The 23,597-nt window shown below is 40.5% G+C and overlaps 1 protein-coding gene across 4 annotated transcripts in view, besides 1 other annotated feature; it reads right to left on the reverse strand.

Annotated features, from left to right (window-relative positions):
• Window positions 1–982: an enhancer, noted in NCBI's record as "H3K27ac hESC enhancer chr1:109940693-109941674 (GRCh37/hg19 assembly coordinates)". NCBI's record gives its function as "activates a minimal SCP1, AML or CMV promoter by ChIP-STARR-seq in naive H9 embryonic stem cells {active_cell/tissue: H9 hESC(naive)}" and the evidence as "EXISTENCE:reporter gene assay evidence [ECO:0000049][PMID:30033119]".
• The window catches only part of PSMA5 (proteasome 20S subunit alpha 5), a 27,407-nt gene continuing 4,781 nt past the window's right edge, over window positions 972–23,597 (reverse strand). For all 4 annotated transcript variants that reach the window (NM_001199774.2, NM_001199773.2, NM_001199772.2 and 1 more), the window contains 7 exons: window positions 17,167–17,293; window positions 14,998–15,065; window positions 14,007–14,114; window positions 13,807–13,865; window positions 12,941–13,043; window positions 11,858–11,944; window positions 972–4,020 (listed from right to left, as the gene is read on the reverse strand). In NM_001199774.2, coding sequence (NP_001186703.1) covers window positions 3,943–4,020; window positions 11,858–11,944; window positions 12,941–13,043; window positions 13,807–13,865; window positions 14,007–14,114; window positions 14,998–15,065; window positions 17,167–17,215 — 552 coding nt within the window. In that variant the 5' untranslated portion in view covers window positions 17,216–17,293 and the 3' untranslated portion in view covers window positions 972–3,942. The remainder of the gene's footprint in view (window positions 4,021–11,857; window positions 11,945–12,940; window positions 13,044–13,806; window positions 13,866–14,006; window positions 14,115–14,997; window positions 15,066–17,166; window positions 17,294–23,597) is intronic.

Below are 23,597 nucleotides of genomic sequence, written 5' to 3' on the forward strand. Positions count from 1 at the left end.
TCGCCTCCGGCTTCGGGGGTCCTGGATTCGGATGCTAAGATGCGGGACTGATTGGCTGGAACGGGGCAGAGACTGCTGAGGTCAACCCCGCCTCGCCCGGCGTCTCCCGGGCCCGGCTTGTGGAGTTCACGTAGGAGCTTCTCATACCTTCCCGCCGAGCCCCGGGCTCCTGGCGTCGCGACCCCTTGCCGCACCTCTAGCGCCCTCAAGTTGGGGCTGGGTTACGTCCCTCCTGTTCCCCAGAGACACTCCTAAAATTCCTTCGGTGAGGCAGAGCCTGGAAAAACCTACCCAGGAAATCCCTGAGCTTGCTCAGCTGGAAAAGGGGGCTCCATCATGAACCGGGGCTTCGGGTTTTTATAAACCCCGCTCACTGGAGCGCCCATTGTCTGCTAAGCAGCTGCCTTGCTGCAAGAAGGTGAATGCGAACTGATGTGGGCCACATCCTACGGAGACAGACATCAGGACATCCGTGACTCCTGCAAGCCTGAAGAATAGTCTTTCCATACGTTTGGCCTCTCTCACCTTCCTCTTCTGAGGGGAGGTAGGCCAAAGGCGGAATTACTTACAGGTTTTCCAGGACTTCGAATGTAGCTTAGGCATTAGGGGCAGGTAAAAGAGGGGCAAGAGAATGATCCAATGCCTACTGTACACATGATCATTTCCTAGATGCACATTTATTTTACCAAAGTGCCTTAACTCTGCAGTGAGAGCTTCGGACAAGTTTGGTTCCAGTATGTGATGTCCTCTAAATTAGCACCCCGATCCACCTCTAATGAATAAAATAAAACCCCTACGCTGTTCCCTTTACCGCAGAAGCTGCACACACAACTTCTACAACACGTAGCACAGGTAAAACCAGTTCTGAATCCTTAAGCTTACTGACTCCATCCCTTCAGAAAGCTAGAAATTGTTCAGTAGAAAAGGTAGCAAATAGAAAGATACAAAATATGCAAGTCATTACACTCAAAGCAAGTAAAGATTACTTTTAATTATAAACTGGCCATAAACCCAAATGAGGATATAGTCATTGTAGAGCAAAATGATACAATGCACCCAACCCGATATTTACATTAAAATATTTCCAGTCACATTAACTTTCAAACAAAAAGACTTAACGAATTTACAAATTTTTCCAAGACGTGAGAAGTGAAAAATGTTTTTGAATGCCATCTGAGCAGGATAGTAAAATCACTAGAATAGTCTTTTTAAGTTCTCAGTTACTGGACTGAAAAGATAAAGCTGATGAAAATTGGTGAACAATTTGTTCCTTTCCATAACTACTATCAGATTAATTTAAAAAAGATTATTTTTAAATCTATGCCAACTATGGGAGTAGATCACAAGACAGTCAGTTCCAGTAGCATGTGATTAGGTGGGGGGAGGAAAGGGGGTTATAAAGGAATATTTCTTTGTTTGGGTGACACAAAGATGAATGGTCTATTGTCTTACTGTCTGAAAAGAAAAAACAACTCAACAGTGCCACCTCCTGGAGAAATTACCAAATACACTTTTAAACGCTATTAAATTTGTTCCAATTATCTGTACCTTCACTTTTTAGTATGTTGCTTTTAGTTATCACAGGCTTACAGTACTTATATATTTCCTTCTTCAAACTGTATCAGCTTCTGGGACATGGTAACTTGCATATGGCACTGAGAAAATGTTTGAGTGAATATATTTATTATTTCACTTTTTAAATTGGAAACCCTAGGAACTATATTTCATTTTTGTCTAATGAGATTGACATTAAATATAAAAGTGGCACTGTCAGTTCTCCTTTGTGAGATACTGGACATAAGATTTCACCTTATTTGCAGGACTAAAGTAAATTTATCTTATTACTAAAAACCGTACCTTTCTCCAGGAAACATTCTATAGCAGAAAGATAACATAAAGCAATTACACATCATGAAACCATTGCTGTTCGTAGTAAGATCACTTCTTTAACCTAAGAAAGCTTGTTTTAATATTCTACAAAAAAATCAAAGTTCTACCTCTTTGAAGAATGCCAATTATAGAAGGTACGAAATTTACTGTTTTACCAGGTAAAACACAAATATGCTGCCCAGCCAGTGGGAGGGAAAACAACTTAAGCTGAGGCGAACGGACATAGGCTAAGAGCTACTCCTTAGTATTTGGGCATTTTTCCCCCTATGAAATGCATGTGATTCAGAGACACAACTCACCTCTCCCAAAAGCAACATGGGCTTTATCCATTTCTGCATTAACCTAGAGTTAAAAAGGAATATTGTTTATTGTTTGGCTCTCCCCACTAGAAGTTTCACAGGAGCACAGATCATATCTACCATTTGAACAGCTCTCTGCCTGATGGCTAATACATTTCTTGGCATATAGTAGGTAGGTGCTCAATAAATTTGTTACAGGAATAAATGAGATAGGATTTTCAAGGGTATTTTCTATTAGGATTTAATAAAACAAAGTGATCTTTAGAGAAACAAATCTCCCCATCAACATGCTATACTTAATAAGTGTTAAAATCACTAGAAGTCTCTGGAACATTCAGTAACAATATACTCTAATTCTCTGCTTTCCTTATGTGTTATTCTAGGGCAAAATCCCTTTCTTCCAAATGTTTCCTATCATTGCAGTTTCCAAATGTATATAAACATGTTGTTTTTTGTTGAACTACAGTATGGATTTAGTATGAATTCAGCCTATCCAAATAGTCATAATTTATTAACATATAGTACAACTTCCTACACATCAATATACCCAGAGCCCAGCAAATAATTATGGGGTCCCTGTTAGTGAATTAAATCAATTCTGCATCATCCACATATGGATTAGCCATGTTGTGGACAGTGCAAGTACTTTTCAAATCTCCAGATTTCCCTATTACTCAAGAGCTGGTGATCTGAAACAAGAAAATTTGAGCTGTTCAAGTCCCAACAGCTTAATTTTGTGTGTCCATGGGCACACAGCATTAGATTCTTCATCTGTTAAGTAGTGATACTGATACCATCTTCCCGTGGTAATTTTTGAGGCTGAGATAGAATGATTCTTTAAACAATCTCCACCAATCATATGATGGCAGCTCTAATGGGGAAAGTTCATCATTCATTCCAAAGTCTAATGTAAACTGCTTCTGAATTTTACAATTCTCTTACTGATATAGAGATTTGTAATTGATTGCCAGTGAGGCCAAGGTCATTAATTTAATTCTTAGTCCTTCACTTCGTAAACAAGGAAATCTCTTTCCAAATTGTCTATCAAGACCCAAGAACTGGTACAACACTGTTGATGGCTGATTCCAACCCATCAATGTTTTGAGGAGGACCTCAAAACATGTTCTTCTGATAGTCAATTAGTAGCATCTCCTTATAAGAAAAGCAGCAAAAATACACGTTTGCTCCAGAAATTATAGGGCCGAAATGGATTTACAGTGCTGTTAACATCTATTAACCACTGGGAAGAGCTGGACTAGTTCATTTATCAACACCATGGGATTAATGGATATAGTTGATTCTGTTATAGAGCATCACTAAAACAGTTTTAGAACAGACATCTTCATAGAATAGGGATATTAATAACACTGTCCTTTTGGCCCACTAACATTTGCATTTCAAACAAAAGACTGTATTACAATGGCTGGGCACAGTGGCTCTCGCCTATAATCCTAGCACTTCAGGAGGCAGAGGCGGGAAGATCACTTGAACCCAGGAGTTTGAAACCAGCCTGGGCAATATAGTGAGACCTCATCTCTTAAAAAAAAAAAAAAAAAAAAGACTATTAGAAGAGAACAGTCTATTAACAAATATTTTAAAATTTTCTTTATTTCAGAACTGCCTTTATGTACAGACATCATTTAAAAAATGCACATACAATGGAGATTTTCCAAGGAACAGGAGCTGGAAATAAAATTTAAGGACATTATTAGAACTGAAATTGTCCCAGAGAAGTTCTGAGGATCAGGATTCCTTAAATGTCCTTGATAACCTCTTCAAGTTCTTCCTTTGTGAACATGTGGAAATTCTGGCCAGGCTGCACTGTGGCTAGCTGGAAAGAAAACAGAAGGGTTAATAAGCTGGGCTGAGTTACCCTGCTGATGGCCCTACCATGGTCAGGAGAAGCTGTGTTGGTGATGCAGCTATTCATTAGGAACTAAGGGATCTGCTGTCCCAAGGATATCCTTTCCAGGCAGCAGGTCCCTAAAATAGCTCTCTGGCTCCAAAATAAAAATGCTTATTGACCAAATTTTCTATTTTAAGGTTAACTCACCACATCATACTTAACCAAATGCCTGGCATCATTGTCACTTCTTGAAGTCACTTCAACAGGGATCACAAAAGCAGCAGCAAAGTACATGGAGTCAGTACTTTTTTCTGTTAAAGACTCCTTTAGAAATATATTTGAAGTATATTTAAATACTTAAAAGTTGAGCTTGTGTGTGTGACTTGAGGTTACTTGGCCACTCTGTGCCTCTATTTCTTCATCTGTACAATGAGGACAATAAGAATAGCTAATTCATAGAGTAGTTGTGAGGATTAAATGTTAATATATATAAAGTGCTTAGACCATTATTGCCTACAACAAATAATCATTAACTATTGTCAGGTATTTTCTCTAAAATTGTTTATGTGGCAAAACTTAACAAAAAAGTTTTTTTTGTTTGTTTTTGGTTTTGTTTTGAGATGGAGTTTCGCTCTTGTTGTTCAGGCTGGAGTGCAATGGCGTGATCTAGGCTCACCGCAACCTCCGCCTCCCGGGTTCAAGCGATTCTCCTGCCTCAGCCTCTCGAGTAGCTGGGATTACAGACATGCGCCACCACACCCGGCTAATTTTGTATTTTTAGTAGAGACGGCGATTCTCCATGTTGGTCAGGCTGGTCTCGAACTCCCAACCTCAGGTGATCTGCCCACCTCAGCTTCCCAAAGTGCTAGGATTACAGATGTGAGCTACTGCACCTGGCCTGTTACGTTTTTTTAAAAGAACTGGCCAAGAAAAGATTTCATTAACACTGGCATAGGAAACCAGTTGTGACTGCTGAAGATATCAGTAATAACTGGAAATCCAGATTATATTTACATTTAAAAGCAACAACAACAATAAAAAACTAGGGTCAGAAGATGGTTAATTTCAAATTTAACTATCATGACTAGGTTTTCCATTCTCTCTGTTGATCATGTCCCACAGTTTTGGGCAATACTGAGCAATAGGTGCCACTTCACATTTGCCTCAAAAGATTTGTGTTTTACATGTCATTTCCTCATAGTGTCTTTTTTCTTCAATTTTTAAAATTAAACACATGGCTGGAAACAGTAGCTCATGCTTGTAACCCCAGCACTTTGGGAGACTGAGGCGGGAGGATCACTTGAGCCCGAGAGTCAAAAACCAGCCTGGACAACACAGGGAGACCCCGTGTCTACCAAAAAAAAAAAACCCCAAAAACTAGCAGGGGGTGTAGCAAACGCCTGTGTCCCACGTACTCAGGAGGCTGAGGTGGGAGAATTGCTTAACCCTGGGAGGTTGTGGCTGCAGTGAGTTGTGATCATCCCACTGCACTCCAGCCTGGGTGACAGAAAGAGGCTCTGTCTAAAACAATAAATTAATTAATAATAATTTTTTAAAATTAAATATAGTAGGGCATTTTAAAGTAATTTTCAGTACTAATATTTAATGTAACTTGAAAGTTGCTAGAGAGAATCAGCATAATCCAGTTATATGATGTTTAGTATCCTCTGCCTCATCTATAAGTAAAATTCAGAAAGACTGCTGCAAGTCTTAAGACATCTGATATCTGGGAACAGACTTAAAAAAAAAGTTCTCCTCTCAAAGCTTGTAGTCTCCTCTAGATTCTCCTAAAAGATATATCTCTAATTACATGAAATGTCAGAAAAGTCCCAAATATATCTGCAAAATATAGGTAAACAATTAGTTTACCATGTAGACCATGAGTTCCATTCCAAGGATATTTAAACATACAAATATTATTACTGCTTCTCTTGGCCAGGCGTGGTAGCCTGTAATTCCTTCAATTATGGCACTTTGGGAGGCTGGGGCAGGCAGATCACTTGAGGTCAGGAGTTCGAGACCAGCCTGGTGAACATGGCAAAACCCTGTCTCTACTAAAAATACAATAATTAGTCGGGCATGGTGGCACACGCCTGTAGGCCCAGCTGAGGCACAAGAATTGCTCGAACATGGGATGTGGAGGTTGCAGTGAGCTGAGATCGCACCACTGCACTTAGCCCAGGCAACAAAGTGAGATCCTGTCTCAAATAAATAAATAAATAAATAAATAAAAATGTTACTACTGCTTCTCTTAAGATATATCTTTACTTGATGATCAATGACATGAGGACAGAGAAATATAAGAGCAATAATCTAAAGAGTGAGGGCCTAAAGAATTTCACTCATGACTCAGGCTAGCCTTCTCAAAACATTACAGGGGCTAAAAAGCAGAAACTGGGAAAACTCTGAGTGGAACAGTCCTACAGAAGAACTGGAACGCAAATCAATACTATTAATAATAGCGTCTGAGCCAAGGACTGCCTTCAGGAAGTTGCTCATCACTAGATAAGTAAAAATAATCCCTTACATTTGCATAATAATAAATGTATTTGCATAATATGAAAGATACTTTTCTATTTATTATCTCACTTTCAAAAAACATCTCTATGAGGCAGGTAGAACAGATATTTTCTTTCAATTTATTTCACCAATAATTAATTACTAAGCACCTGTGTATTAGTTACATGTACTTGTGACTAAGGATCCAAAGATGAAGAAAGTCTTTATTTACTAAGTGCTAGATGCCAAATGTGTTCAATGTCAGGTAAGTGTTGTAATAGAACTAAGAATATGTTTAAGAGTGATCTGGAGGAGCCCAGGAAGGCTTCAGGGAGAAGCAACTTTTGAGTTGTGTATTAAAGCATGGCAAGAATGGGTCAGACAGTCAAAGACAGGAAGGGCAAACAATGTGCAAATGCACAGAACCACAAAAGAACACGACATATTTGCAAAACTGAAAGTAATTCTGTATGGCTAGACCACAGCTTGCACATGGAATATGACGTGAAAAGGAGAGGGAGTAGGGGGTCAGAGCTCATGGGAGACAGTACGTTAAAGTGGTTAAAAGTATAAGACCTAAGACCAGACCTGGATTCAAATCCTGACTCTACCATTTACCTGTTGGCCCTACCGTCTCAAAGCCAGTTTCCTCTTCTGTAAAATAAGATTTTCGGAATAGGAATATCTATCTCATAGAAGTGTTGTGAAGATTAAGAGATGTAATTGCATGTAAAATGCTTAGCAAAGTCTCTAATAGATTAAACAAATGACTTAAGAAGTAGTGAATTATGCCATGAAAAGAATTTTGGAATTTATCTCACAGACAATAGAAGTCAGAAAAGGTTTTTTTTTTTTTTTTTTTTGAGACAGAGTCTCGCTCTGGAGTGCAGTGGCGTGATTCCAGCTCACTGCAACCTCCGCCTCCTGGGTTCAAGCAATTCTCATGCCTCAGCCTCCCAAGTACCTGGGATTACAGGCACATGTCACCGTGCTTAGCTAATTTCTTGTATTTTTATTAGAGACAGGGGTTTCACCATATTGGCCTGGCTGGTCTTGAACTCCTGGCCTCAAGTGATCCACCCATCTTGGCTTACCAAAGTGCTGGGATTACAGGTGTGAGCCACATGTCCAGCCAGAAAATATTTTTTAAGTGGAGAACCATTAAGATTAGATATAGCTTAGAAAATCCACTATAGTAGCACAATGAGGAAAAAATGGACTGAAATGGAGGAGGGCAAGATTAATTAGGAAGCCTCTGAAAATATACAAGGTAGGGGAAAAATGGGAACCTGAACAAAAGGCGGCACTGGAAGTAGGGATGGAGAAGGGACATGGATTTGGGAGTTATTTATAAGGGAGCAAAGAAATGACTGAGTAAAAGGGAAGGAAAGTCAAAGTCTTCCAGGTTTCTCGTGTGAATGACAAGTACCCTGGGGGTGTCATCAACCAAGATTAGAAATATGGGAAGATGAAATGGTTTTTAGGAAAGATAATGATTTTAATTTTAGAACTGTCAAATCTGAGGTGAATCCTTCAAAAAAGTCAAATGATAGTTCCAAAGAGTGACCATGAAATCTGACAAATAAGAGTTATCTTAGCAAGGAGCAGTCTCATGGAAATAATAAAAGCTGAAACAAATAGTAGTGATTGAGGAGTAAATGAGAGGTGAAGCAGTGGAGATAATACAGGTTCTGTTTGGAGGAGACTTGGCAATAAAGGTGAAAAAATAGGATGGATGAGATAGCACTCAGCAATGAAATGTAACAGAATTGATGCAACACAGGTGAATCTCAAAATCATGCCAAGTGAAAGAAGTATAGTCCCTATAATCACCTATAGTCCCAATTACTCAGGAGGCTGAGGCAGGAGAACTGCCTGAGGCCAGGAGTTTAAGACCAGTCTGGGCAACACAGCAAGACCCCATCTCTAAAAAAATTAAAAAACATTAGCCAGGCATGGTGTGTGCACCTGTAGTCCCAGCTACTCGAGAGGCTGGGGTGGGAGGACTACTTGAGCTCATGAGTTCAAGACCAGTCTAGGCAATACAGCCAGACCTCATCTCTTAAAAAAACAAACAAAAACATTTATATGAAATTCTAGAACACAAAACAAATCTATAGTGACAAAAAGTAGATCAATGTGGGGGAAGAGACTACAAAGGGACATGAGAGAACTTTTTGGGAGGATCAATATAATGACTGGGGTGACAGATACTGGGGGTTGTACATTTGTCAACATCCGCTGAATTGTAAACTTAAAATAGGTACATTTTACTGTATATAAATTATATCTCAAAAAAGTTCATTGAAAGTAAGGACACTCGACAGAAGGAGGTACATATAAAGATTTTCTTAAAAAGAAAGATGTAAGATGTAACTTGGATATATATATATATTTTGAGACAGTCTCGCTCTGTCGCCCAGGCTGGAGTGCAGTGGCGCGGCATGATCTCGGCTCACTGCAAGCTCCGCCTCACGGGTTCACACTTCTCCTGCCTCAGCCTCTGGAGTAGCTGGGACTATAGGCGCCCGCCACCATACCCGGCTAATTTTTTTTGTATTTTTAGTAGAGAAGGGGTTTCACCCTGTTAGCCAGGATGGTCTCAATCTCCTGACCTCGTGATCCGCCAGCCTCGGCCTCCCAAAGTGCTGAGATTACAGGCATGAGCCACCACGCCTGGCCGGATATTTTCCTTTTCTTAGGGGAAGCAGTTCATGTAGGGAGGCTGGAGCTCCAAGGAACAACTAATGGACTAAGAACTTAAAGCAGATGGGCTCTAGCGCAGTGGCTCCCAAATGTCAGTCCTTCTTAGACTGACCTTTCACAGCAGCCTATGAAAGCTGGTTCTATGGGTGAGACATTCACCAACAATACTCTCCAGTCCTCTCTAATCTTCTGTTCTTAACTAGTCAATCCCCTACCATGGATTAATCCAACCATCCATTTTCTCATGAGTGTGGTCAACAAATATCCTGGTAAGTACTGATTGGTTTAATTACTGATATATAATTACAGCCTTGGTTGGCCTTTAAATTTTATTTATTTATTTTTTGAGACAGAGTTTCGTGCTGTTGCCCAGGATGGAGTGCAGCTGGAGTGCAATCTCAGCTCACTGCAACCTCTACTGCCCAGGTTCAAGCAATTCTCATGCCTCAGCCTCCCGAATAGCTGAGATTACAGGCACGCACCACCACACCCAGCTAATTTTTTGTATTTTTTTAGTAGAGACGGGGTTTCACTATGTTGGCCAGGCTAGTCTCGAACTTCTGGCCTCACGTGATCTTCCTGCCTTGGCCTCCCAAAGTGCTGGGATTACTGGCCTCAACTACGATTTTAATATGGCCCAGCAATCCTTTTACTCTTCCCTGTCTTCTCATAACAACTTTTCCAAATATTTCCCATTCTCAATTTTACTGTTGCATTCACCTACCCTCGGCAGATGACTTTACAATCACTAGGAAAAATCTGGGGAAATGTGGGACATCTCTCCAGGTTTACCGCCAAACCCACCTATCTTTACTCGTCATTACTTCCTTTGCTCCTGTCTACTCTTAGCATACTAAAAAAGGACATTCCCAAGCTGGTCCATACCTCTCCAGTCTCATCCCTTACCGTCCCCCACCATCTTATATACATCCCACACCTCAGCAGTCAGACAAAACCTCAAAGTTTCCTTTACCCACAATATTATTTTTACATCTTGAACCCTTTGCACATGTTGTCCCGTCTTCCTGGAATACCTTTCTGCTCCCTTTTCCAGACATCACCTCTTCCAAGAAGCTTCCCTAATGCTTTAGTCTAAGTTATACATACTCACAGGAATCTGTTTTTACTGCTATTATAGAAGTATCACCCCAGGTTCTTATTATCTATATGTTCCCTGCACTACACAGTATACTACTTGAATAGGAATTGGATTTTCTGTGTCTGTAACCCTGGGCATCTAGCATAATACCTGCTATATAATGGGTACTCAATATGATGCTGAATGAATTTTACTTTTCAAAACCAACTCCTTCATGTGTACCATGCCTTACCTCTTCTATAACTTTTCCATCACTATCCTAACCTCTCCTTTTATTTCTTTCAGCTTTTTTTTTTTTCGGGACGGAGTCTCGTTCTGTCGCCCAGGCTGGAGTGCAGTGGTGCAATCTCGGCTCACTGTAACCTCCACCTCCCGGGTTCAAGTGATTCTCATGCCTCAGCTTCCCAAGTAGCTGGGATTACAGGCGTCCACCACCACGCCTGGCTAATTTTTGTATTTTTAGTAGAGATGGGGTTTCACCATGTTGGGCAGGCTGGTCTTGAACTCCTGCCCTCAAGCGATCCACCTGTCTCAGCCTCCCAAAGTGCTGGGATTACAGGCCACTGCGCCCAACTCTTTCAACATTTTTCTATACACTAGTTTCATCTCCGTTTATATTTTCAAGACTTTTCCACATCCTAAAAAAGACACAATCCTTTTCTTTAATGCTATCTTCTGCTGACACTAATCAAACTTCTTGAGAAAGCAGCATACTATTGTTTTCTCCACTCATCATCTCCCTTTCATTCTTTTTATTTTATTTTTGAGACAGAGTCTCGCTCTATCGCCCAGGTTGGAGCGCAGTATCACAATCTCAGCTCACTGCAACTTCCAAATCCTGGGTTCAATCAATTCTGATGCCTCAGCCTCCCGAGTAGCTGGAACTACAGGTGCGTGCCGCCACACCTGGCTAGTATTTGTATTTTTGGTAGAGTCGGGGTTTTGCCATGCTGGCCAGACTGGTCTCGAACTCCTGGCTTCAAGTGATCTGCCTGCCTTGGCCTCCCAAAGTGCTGGGATTACAGGCGTGAGCCACCTCGCCAGGCCTCATTCTTTAACTCACTGAATTCTGGCTTCTGCCAGCACCACTTTACTGAAGCTGCTTATTATTCAAAGGCTGTTAATAATTTCTTAGGAACTAAACATACAAAAATGTCATTTCCATGATCTATGTAGTCTTCAGCAATGCCAGCTATGATATCTGAATAAAAAACAATAAAACAGCCAGGTGCAGTGGCTCTCACCTATAGTCCCAGGTACTCAGTAGGCTGAGGCAGGAGAATTGCCTGAGGCCAGGAGTTTAAGACCAGTCTGGGCAACACAGCAAGACCCCATCTCTAAAAAAATTAAAAAACATTAACCAGGCATGGTGTGTGCACCTGTAGTCCCAGCTACTCGAGAGGCTGGGGTGGGAGGACTACTTGAACTCATGAGTTCAAGACCAGTCTAGGCAATATAGCCAGACCTCATCTCTTAAAAAAAAAACCGAAAAAAATCCAACAATAAAACAGAAAGTACCTCAATGTTTGTTGCATTCAGCTTCTCCTCCATTACTTGTTTGAGGATGATGAGTGAAGACTTGATGGCTTCTTTCAAAGTCATAGACTTGAAACAAAGAAGGCAAGAAGATGCCTATTAATTATGCACAATCCGTCCTTCCTTCAAAGATTTTCCCTTTATCTCACTGAAAAAAGTATTTAGCAAGTATGTCAAACATCTTACTTAGTATGGTGCATTACAAGTATCTCCAGAACTCAAGTAAATGGCAAATAAGTAGAATACATTTTTTCAGGAAAAAAAACCCCCAAACCTTATTGTGAGCCACAATAAAGTCACCAACCAAAGTAATCTTTGAAGAAGGGGAAAGGGATAGACTAGTCTTGTGTACATTTGAATTCCTCTTTTAATTTAGAAGATAATATTATTGGTAATATCCAATGAACAATAATGCCCAAATGATCTAAGAGGTAGCCCAATGGTTTAGAAAATTCAAATTTACCCTGTTTTGTACCTAATTTCTTCCACATGTAAAAGCAATACCATTAGGAGCTAATGTGAGCAGGCATCCCTGTATGAACCACCTGAATAAGTAGAGCAGCCTTCAATCACACCAATGAGTTACCCAAAACCAAATCTTCCCATCTCACAAAGAAAATACCAAATGCCCACTTGCTTCAAGAGCCAATTGTAAAGTGCTAAGTAAAGCTGTGAATATAGAGGATAAACATATTGTGGTACATCCATACCATGGTATATTACTCAGCCATCAAACGGAAATACTGGAACAACATGAATGGATCTCAAAAACAGTGTGTTAAACAAAACAGATACAAACTGACTAACTGTTTAATTCCATTTATAACAAAGCACAACAGACAAAACTAATGGAGAGTGGTAAACATGGTGGTAAACATGGTTGCAAGGGAGGGAAAGAGATTGACTGGAATGTGGATGAGCATTTTTCTGGTGGTGATGAAAGTGTTATTTATCTTGTTTTGCAATTGTCAAAACAGAACTGAACTCTTAAGGTTTGCACATTTTATTATATGTAAATTATACCATGATAAAAAAATAGTAAGAGTTGTGAGAATACTTAATTACCTTGTGGTAAACTTCTTGCAAGGAGCTCTGGGCACCCTCTGAAGCAGAGCCAATTGCTCGAGCATCACACTGTACAAAGGTCCCAGATGGGTCCATATGAAACCTGCAAAACCCCCAAAATGAGGACTAAAATGCTCAGGAGTGGTGGCACTTTATGTAACAAACGTCTCACTAAAACAAAGTATAAATGCTTGGCCCTGCAGCCAGGAAACACCACTGAAATATTGAGGCACAGATCTAAAAGATGTTCTATGTCTGGAGAAACCAGACATTTTAAAAACTGTTTAAGAAAATTAGTACCTTCCTTAGGGATTTAGAAGTATAGTATGTATAAATATGGTACTTGTTTATGCCTATCTTAGAAATATTTGAGGATGAGGATCAGATCAACATTCCAGAGCAAAGTTCTAAAACATACCCTGACTATAGTAACAAGTTACTTCTAATTCCTTCCAGAATTAGCACTGGTTCCAATAGGGGAATTCTTCATGGAATCCCCAAATTTGTGCAAACGGTATAGAATCACTAAACTTTAGTATTAGAAGCCATATATATGTATATACATACACACACACACACTCTACAATAGCCCTTTTTACAATAATCTTTTTTTAATGTATTTTTTAAAGAGATGGGGTCTGGCTCTGTTATCCAGGCTGGAGTGCAGTGGCATGATCATAGCTCACTACAGCCTGGATAACAACTCCCAGGCTCAAGAGATCCTCCTGCCTTAGCCTTCAAGTAGCTGGGACTACAGGTGTGTGCTAATACCTGGCTAACAGTCTACAATAATCTTCTCAGTCTCCACCCCAAATTAAAATAATTCCCTGCAAAAGCATGGGGGAAAATTACAAAATGGTACTTACAGCTGGGGTCCTTTCTCATCAACTCCTCCAAATAATAATGCTACTCCAAAGGGACGAGACTAGAACCAAAAAATAAGAGATATTAAGATAAATGGCTATAAAGTAAGGAGGTGAGAGGGGCTGGGAATGTTATGTTCACAGGACAAATGTCCTAAGTCCCATAGAACAATAAGAAAACTCGACAGAAGTATCACACTCACCATGGCACCTGGATCTGCATCTTCTTCTCCAAACTGCAAAGCCAGATTGGACACAGCTTGGGTCACACTCTCCACTGTCATTGTCTCATTGTAGGTGAACCAGTGGTTCTAGAAGAAGAGCAAAGCATGGTACAACCTTCTAATAAGGACATTAAAGCAGCCCACCATCTCACTACGCACATCCCTTTAAACTGGGATTGAAAACTGAAGGCTCAAATGTGGTTTTCTTAATTAACATTAACCCTGAGTACTTGGGAGTACATGAGAGGAAGAGAAATAGCTCTGGAAATAAACATATCACAAGGACTCTACGCAACGACGGACAAGAGAATTACTGCCTTGAAAAAGAGGGTTATGCCTCAAAGCACCAAGTTTACTCTTTCAAAAACTAAAAGTGCCTCTTTCCCTCAAAGACTCTAGCTTATTCTGTTGATGTTCAAATGACTTATTCTTACATAAGTACAGACAGCAAACTTGCAAATAAGTACAAAAAATTTTACCATGTGATGTATTTTTCTTACTAGCCTATCTTCAAGCAGCAGCTACAAAGTTTAAAAAAAAAAAAAACAGTATCCCTGACCAGTATTTGTCAGTTGGTACAAGTTATTACTCACCAAAGGCGGGCTGTTATTTACAAGCCTGGCAGCAAAGGCAGCTGAGGGGAGAATATCCTTTAACTACGTCCACCTCCTGCCATGATGCTCCCACACAAAGTCAATTAGGAAACAATGCATGCTTTATATATAGGCAAAGCCAAAAAAAAAAGGAAGACACTGTCAGCACTACTGACCAGAGCCTCTTTAAAACTGCAATGATTGGACAGCTAAACTCCAAGCCCCAGGAAGTTCTAACTGGGAATTCTACCCAAAATTACTCCCAAGAGCCACATCTAATATTGACACAGGTACCTGCAGTATAGCCCAGGCAGCTAGATAATCACTAAACAAGGAACTCAAGCATCCTGGTAAAAAGGAGATAATGCCAATTTTACCTGTGTCTCCACTCTGGCTTTATCAATTAAAGTCTTAGCATCAGCAATTAGCCCACTCATGGCACAACCTGCAATGTAAAAGCGACAGTGACCCAGTGGCCAAATCCTTGTAAAACTCTTTCATCCACTCAGGAAATCCTGAAATTCTGGATTGGAACCACGGCAGCCATTCAGCTATCCCATGGCATTTTATACCCAAAAGATTAGATAGGAAATGATCTGCACTGAACCCAAGTATTAATGATATTAGAAACAAAAAACCATCCACAATGACACAGAAGTCCAGACGATAAAAATAAGCCCAGAGAAAAGCAGCTAACCAAACATGAATTTCCACATATTACATCCCTAAGCATCCCTTTAGCACTCTTTGTAGACGATGATACATTTTCAAACGAAGCAAATACTAATGCCCCAACCTGGGAAACAAGGAAAAGAAAATCACCTCACTATGGACTACAGTGGAGGACTCTCGAATAAATCAAAAGCCTTTTGCCTCTCTGTCCCAAACACAAAGCAACTAGTTATATCAGAGAGAGTTTGCCTGATGGCCCAAGCTGTCACGATTATGGCTATAACTGTTATTGTACATGCCATGGCTCAAATCTAAATCTCCAGCCTAAGTTTCTCTCCCAAGTTTCAGACATATAAAGCCAAATAACTTCCTTAATATATCTACTTGGACATATCACACACTCATTTCCCTTCCAGACCCCGTCTTCTTCCTTGGCCCTCACAATCAATCAGATCACAAGTTCTGTCAATTTCTATCTTCCTCTCCATTCTCTGGCTACTGTGTTGGTTAAAACCTTCACCATCTCTTTGTTTGGACTATTACAAATTTTTCAACTGGCCTCCGTGCCTCCAGTTTCAGCCCTCTTTAGTCTATCTTTAATATCATTATCAGAATGGCCTTTCTAAAATTATAATGGGATCCTATTACCTCATTGCTTAAAACCTTTCCCATCCTTGCAAAAGGATTACATTGAAGCCCTTCAGTGTGGTAAAAAAGGAATTCCGCTCTCTGACCGACTCTGCTGCTGCAGTTCATGGCCCAGGCCTACAAAACTGCTTGTGACATGGTATTTTATATTTTACACCACGATGGCTTCAGTCATTTCTATTCCCCCTGACTAGAATGCTCTCCCTTGCTATACCCAGACACTTGTTTGCCTTGTGTACACTTCCTTATCTTTCAGAATTAAACTCAGCTCAAAATCACTTTCATGGAATCCTTTTCTGAAAGCCCCACTACCGCTGACTCCAGGCAAAACTAATTATTTCTTCCCTTGTACTCCTACTAAGAACACACTAGTCTTTCTTAATACTTTTGTCACTTAATTGCATTGACTTACTTACATGTCCACCACCACAATTAGACTGTATGCTCCTGTAAAACAAGGACTATGTCTTATTCCTTTCTATATCCTGGTATCTAGCATAAGGTCTGGCACATTGTAGGCTCTCAATTTGTTGAACACAGTGACACTGAGCTACCTTCAAAAGACCAAGTGACTTGAGTTAAAGAAGACACAATGTTCCAATCTTAAAAGATAAAATTTCAGTTTCTATATCTATGAAAGACATAATATCAAGCTCCCAGAGTCACCATGGCATTTGGTTCTGATGCCTTCAAGCAATTAATTATTTTGCCAATGCTTCATTAATTAGATGACTAGACAGGTTAAGAAAATTTGGATAGCCAAATAAAATGCCATTCTATAAATAAGTAGAATTACTCACCCTGTAATACTATTATACAATGATGTCAGAAGCCAAGGCAGGGGAATTAAAGACCAAAAAAGTGGGCAGAGGCAACAAGGAATACAAAGATAATCTGAAAACAAAGGAGGAAGACTGATCTAGGCAAGTCTATATTATTCTTATAACTTGTAGTCACTTCAAAGATCTCAACCTTTGCATATTTCAACAACCATCACATTTACCAAGTCTAAATTTGAGGGGAAAGGAACTTATGGGAGTAGGTTAAACATAAATGAGTCCTGCAACAGCCTCCTACTCCTACATTTACGCATTCTGGCCTACTGCCTGGAAAATAATAGCTAACAAGGGGATAACGTGTTCATTTCATAAACCTTCCTTGGAACATCATAGAGGACTAATTAACCCAGACCAGATCCTACAGAACAGCTTTCCTCCACTCCTTACCTATGTGAGCATCAATCTCTACAATTTTCTCAATGCTGCTGGGCTCCATCAGTGGGGAAGTAATTCTCTTCTCCACAGCTAGGCACACACCCTCTGATGTCTGGATCCCAATGGCTGTAGAACCAAGCTAAAGAGAAACATGTTATGATTACCATATATAGGTCAAATAACTGTCTTACATACTCACCAGATAGCTCTCTGTAAATCTTCACATGATAGAAACTTCAACTGGCCACATCTTATAGGCAGAGAGAAGGAGCACCCTAACATACTGTAAGTAATTAATATACTATTCCTGTCAATAGCAAGAACATTGATTTACAGAATTTTGTGATTCTAAAAAGTTCTTTTTTCTCCCTTAAATTTTTTTAAAATTTTTAATGTTTTCTTTATAATTTACCCATGTAATTCCCAGAACCCCAAAAGAGTAAGTTCAACAAAGTCTTTCAAACACTGGAAAAATCCACTCTCTAATGCCAATATTTGGAGGACGGAGGATTCAAAAGTTCTAAACATAGTGGGCAAGAAAGTAATAAAACTCTTAATGTCTTCTCTGGACCTGGCCTCTTTTCACCTCTGCCATCTACCTTGGTCTGTCCCAAGAGGTGATGATATTCCCCAACCTACCTGACCTCCAAAAAAGTAATAAAGGAAGGTAGGGAGGGACGAAAAGAACCACCACCATCATCACCACCAACAACGTAAAACTATTAATTATTTAAGGTCGCTAGAAGTCCACAATATACCTGGAATTCATCTCTATCTCTACGTAACTCCCAGTCATCTACTCCTCTATGCCCATTTCCTGCAAAATGAGGATGACAATAATAATAAGAAGGGTAAACACATTATATATTATAAAATGCTTAAAATGGTGCCTGCCAAATATGAACAAATGTTATTCATATTCCATGCCTAGATACTTCAATAGCCTCTCTCATCTTTAATCTCTCTCAATGTATCTCTAATGTTATAACCTGACTGATCTAATAAAATGCTATTATCATTATATTTCTTCTCTCAAGAATTAACATCACCCTATACTGCCTATAATATATCCAAATAAACTTCCAGAGCCTTCATATCCTGATGCCACTTTTCCCTTCCAACTTCACTACTCGTTATTCTCCAACAAAATCCCTCAGGTATAGCCCAGCCCACTGGCTCAAGCCACGTTATCTCCTACCCTTGCACCCCTCTGCTCATGCTGTCTCCCCTGGAATACATTCTTCCTTCCCCCAATCCAAATTCCACTCATCAAAGCCTTCCATGACTATGCTTTCTGCTTTGAATTCCATTATATTTAGTTATTTCTACAAAGTAATCACTGCCAAGTGTGAGCACTGCAAAGAGTTCCAAAGAATCCCACGAATCTTTATGTATAACTTGCTTAACATGTCTGCAGACTGAATGATCATTTCACACGCATATATATTATTTTTCAAATGTGTTGAGTTGTGACTTTATTTAGAAGTGTTATTAAATGTACACCAGCTTTTTGTCATGTATTTTCTTAATCAGTGGATACCTGCATAACTACAGGAGATGAACTGTCAAAAAATTTTATGTAAAAAAATGAGTACTCAGGTTGGGCATGGTGGCTCATGCCTGTAATCCCAGCACTTTGGGAGGCTGAGGTGGGCAGATTGCATGAGTCCAGGAGTTCAAGACCAGCCTGGGCAACATGGTGAAACCCTGTTTCTATAAAAAATACAATAATTAGCCAGGCTTGGTGGCGTATGCCTGTACTCCCAGCTACGCGGAAGGCTGAAACGGTAGGACTGCTTGAGCCCGGGAGGCAGAGGTTGTAGTGAGCCAAGATCACGCCATTGCATTCCAGCCTGGACAACAGAGTGAGACCCCATCTCAAAAAATAAATAAATAAAAATGAATGCTCATATTTCTAGTTAAAGGTGCAGACTAAAGACATAACATTAGTTCCACGCCTTCCTTAAGTCTATTGATGTAAGATTAAAGGACTTCTAAAAAGGCATAAATCCACTATAACAGAGAGTGGGAGAAGACACAGCAACAAAACTTTGAAGCTAAAAAGAAGATAGGTTAGTGATACCTGGGTAATCCAAATCCTAAACCAGCCGTAAAGAAAGTAAAGAAACAACCTGATTTTTATCACAGGACCTCAAAAAAGGAAATGGTGGCAACAAGGACCTCTGGAAATGGAAATGAACAAGGAGCTAAAAATTGCAAGGTGGTTCAATGTTTAAGAAACAGATTCCCGGATCCCCTCCCCTATGCTGTAAAGCTAGACGACTGCACCTCCCCCACTCCCGTGGAAGACTCCAGGCTTATTCTCTGGAGACCGTAAAATAGAGCGTCTTTGGATTGGGGACACCAAGCACAGTCTAAGGCAGGAATAATGTACTGAAAACGGGATAAATATGTAAAAATTTCCAAACCAAATGTTAAGAACCTCAGCCTTCTTTCCCTACTCAGCTCTCAGAAGCCAGCAGCCAGAAATACCCTCCCGGAATGAAATGAGAAGAGGCAGTTTTCTCCTGAGCAATGTTTTTCAAACTTTTTGACCAAAAGCCACAGTAAGGAATACATTTGATTTCATAACTAAAACCCACAAATAAATATAAATACATAACAGAAACAAAATTTCAGGAAAAAAACCACTCATCACTACTATGGGCAAGGCATTTTGATATCTACTGCTCTGTTTCACTTAAAAAAGAAATGTGGGCCAGGAGTGGTGGCTCATGCCTATAATCACAACACTTTGGGAGGCTGAGGCAGGAAGATCACTTGAGCCCAGGAGTTTGAGACCAGCCTGGGCAACATGGCAAAACTTTACCTCCACAAAAAATAAAAAAAAATAACTGGGTGTGGTGGCATGTGCCTGTAGCTGGGGGCTGAGGTGGGAGGATCACTTGAGCCTGGGAGGTTGAGGCTGCAGTGAGCTGTGATCGTACCACTGCACTCCAGTCTAGGTGACAGAGTGACATTCTGTCTCAAAAGAAATGCTCCTCATGACCACTAAATTTATTTTATTATCTCCTAATAGGTCTAGACCTGCAGTTTGAAAAACATAGCTCTAAACAATCTGACCAGTTCAAAAGGAAAAAAAAATATTTTAGACAGGGTCTCACTCTGTTGCCCACGATGGAGTGCAGTGGCACAATCACGTCTCATGGAGCCCCAACCTCCCAGGCTCACGAGATCTTCCCACCTAAGCCTGCAAAATAGCTAAGACTACAGGTGTACACTACTACACTCAACTAATTTTTTAAATTTTTTGTGAAGACAAAGTCTCACTATGTTGCTCAGGCTGGTCTTGAACTTCTAGACTCAAGCAGTCCTCCTGCCTCAGCGTCCCAAAGTGCTAGGATTACAGGTGTGAGCCTTGCCCAGCCTAATTTTTTAAATTTTTTCTAGACACGGGCTATGTTGCCCAGGCTAGTCTTGAACTCCTAGGCTCAAGTGATTCTCCTCCCTCAGCCTCCCAAAGTACTGAGATTATAGGGATGAGCAACAATGTCCACAAGGAAAAAAATTTTCAAGAAAAATTAGAAAATTGTTGAAGAAAAACAAGACATTTCATCCATAAAACAAGAACGGGATGCTAATAAGAAGAAAAGAAACAAAAGAAGTTGAAAATTAAAAATTATTTCTGGCCAAACACGGTGGCTCATGCCTATAATCCCAGCAATTTGGGAGGGTGAGGCGGGCAGATCACCTGAGGTCAGGAGCTCAAGACTAGCCTGACCAACATGGACAAACCCCGTCTCTACTAAAAATGCAAAATTAGCCAGCGTGGTGGCGCATGCCTGTAATCCCAGCTACTCAGGAGGCTGAGGCAGGAGAATCGCTTGAACACGGGAGGCGGAGGTTGCAGTGAGCCGAGATCACGCCATTGCACTCCAGCCTGGGCAACAAGAGCAAAACTCCACCTCAAAATAAATAAATAAATAAATAGTTTCTACAATACTACTGGAAAATGGGTTCTACCAAATTGAGCAAATAAATCAAAAAAGATGACATGGGGCCTTACACAAGAGGGAGTTAAAGGGAATGCCTAGAATGATCTCACAGAAAATGAAGTCCACAGGTACACAGGAGGCCCAGAGAACAACCAGTCCAGACTGGAGCAGATTAGAAGGCTCCAAGATTTCATTAAGAATCCTTAATAGGGCACTGTGGCTCATACCTGTAATTCCAACACTTTGGGAGGCCTAGGTGGGCGGATCACTTGAGCTCAGGAGCTCGAGACCAGCCTGTGCAACACAGCGAAACCCCGTCTCTACAAAAAATACAAAAACTTAGGCCAGGCGCGGTGGCTCACATCTGTAATCCCAGCACTCTGGGAGGCAGAGGCAGGTGGATCACAGGGTCAGGAGTTCGAGACCAGCCTGACCGATATGGTGAAACACCATCTCTACTAAAAATACAAAAATTAGGTGTGGTGGCACGCGCCTGTAATCCCAGCTATTCAGGAGGCTGAGGCAGGAGAATTGCTTGAACCTGGGAGGCAGAGGTTGCAGTGGGCTGAGATAGCGCCACTGCACTCCAGCCTGGGTGAGAGAGTGAGACTCCGTCTCAAAAAAAAAAAAAAAAAAAAAAAAAACAAGCCGCGCATGGTTGTGCATAGCTGTAGTCCCGGCTACTTTGGGGGCTGAGGCGGGAGGATCACTTGAGCCTGGTAGGTTGAGGCTGCAGTGACCTGAGATGCGCCACTGCATTCTAGCCTGGGTGACAGAGCAAGACTCTGTCTCAAAAAAAAAAAAAAAAAGGAATCCTTAATAGGACACTTAATTTGCCTGAATGTTTTGAGAGGATACATGTAACCTGGAGAGACTTTGGAATGCATTATTGATCATCCTAAATTAAGCAAATATTTTTAAAAAGAGAATTATTAACTCCAAGAAAAACAATGTTGTGCAGAAACAGAAAAATAATTATAAAATGCAAAATGGCTCAGCTGTGAAAAGCATTTAGTTATACTAATGTAACTATTGACTAATGATCTTACAAAATTATGATATTCATGATATATATGGAGAGGGTCACCCTATCCCCACCTCAGAAGACAATTGTGTGTGGTGGGGAGTAGGGGTGTGGGGTTAGGGCAGAAATCTTCATCTTTCATAATGAAAAGTCCATGGATAATGCCTAATAAAAAAAAACCATACATCTGTGTTATAGAGATATGGAGGTACAGTCCTAGAACATTACCAGCTGAAACAATTTAAAGTGTTGCCTCTGAAAAGCTGAACCTAGATGATGCAGGCCTCAAGAATTGCTATTTTTGTTACAAGGTTTATAGAACTACTTTGCCTTCTAACTCTGAAACTACATGCATGTATACCTTAAAAATCAAACAAATATATAATCAGAAACCATTGCCAGAAAACTTAATTTAGCACTTAGTTGTTCTCTAATTGTTTTATGTATAGTATACTGATCTTGAATCCCTAACTGAACAGAGTAGGACAGAATTCATATATACTTTTTATCTAGAAGAGTGATTCTCAATTGGGGGCCCTTTTGTCCCCACCAGACATTTGGCAAAGTCTGGAGACATTTTTGATGGTCACAACTGAAAGAGTGCTACTGGCACCTAATGGGTAGTACCCAGGAATTGATAAACATGCTAAAATGTACAAGATGGCCCTCCACAACAAAGAATTATCCAGTCCACGCCAGGTGTGGTGGCTCACACCTGTAAATCCCAACACTTTGAGAGGCTGAGGCAGGAGGATCACTTGAGCCCAGGAGTTTGAGACCAACTTGGGCAACATAGCAAGACCACATCTCTACCAAAAAAAAAAAAAAAAAAAAATTAGCCAGGCATGGTGCACACATCTGTACCCTAGCTGCTAGGGAGGTTAAGGTGGGAGGAAAGCTTGAGCCCAGGAGTTAGAAGCTGCAGTGAGCTAAGATGGTGTCACTGTACTCCAGCATGGGTGACAGAGTGAGACCCTGTCTCTAAAAAACCACTAAAACAAATCTCTTATTTAGTCCCTAAGGTGACTTTACCAACAAGAACACAAAGGTGGGCTGTGCGTGGTGGCTCACGCCTGTAATCCCAGCACTTTGGGAGGCTGAGATGGGCGAATCATTTGAGGTCAGGGGTTCGAGACCAGCCTGGTGGTACTGGGAGGCTGAGGCAGGAAAATCACTTGAACCCGAGGGGCGGAGGTTGCAGTAAGCTGAGATCACGCCACTGAACTCCAGCCTGGGCAACTGAGAGAGACTCCATCTCAAAAAAAAAAAAAAAGAAAGAAAAAGAAAGAATACAAAGGTGGTCAGATACATGATTTGCTAAAGAAAACAAAACAGAAAAAGTAATACAGGTGCTAATTCTGGACTTCTGTACCTCTCTTTATAGCTAAGAGGATCAAAAGCACAAATATGTCCCTCCACCCCCACTGAGAAAAAGCTATTTAGATAATTATGAAGCAGTTAAC

The sequence above is a fragment of the Homo sapiens genome, chromosome 1, assembly GCF_000001405.40.
Source record: "Homo sapiens chromosome 1, GRCh38.p14 Primary Assembly".
Lineage (NCBI taxonomy): Eukaryota > Metazoa > Chordata > Mammalia > Primates > Hominidae > Homo > Homo sapiens.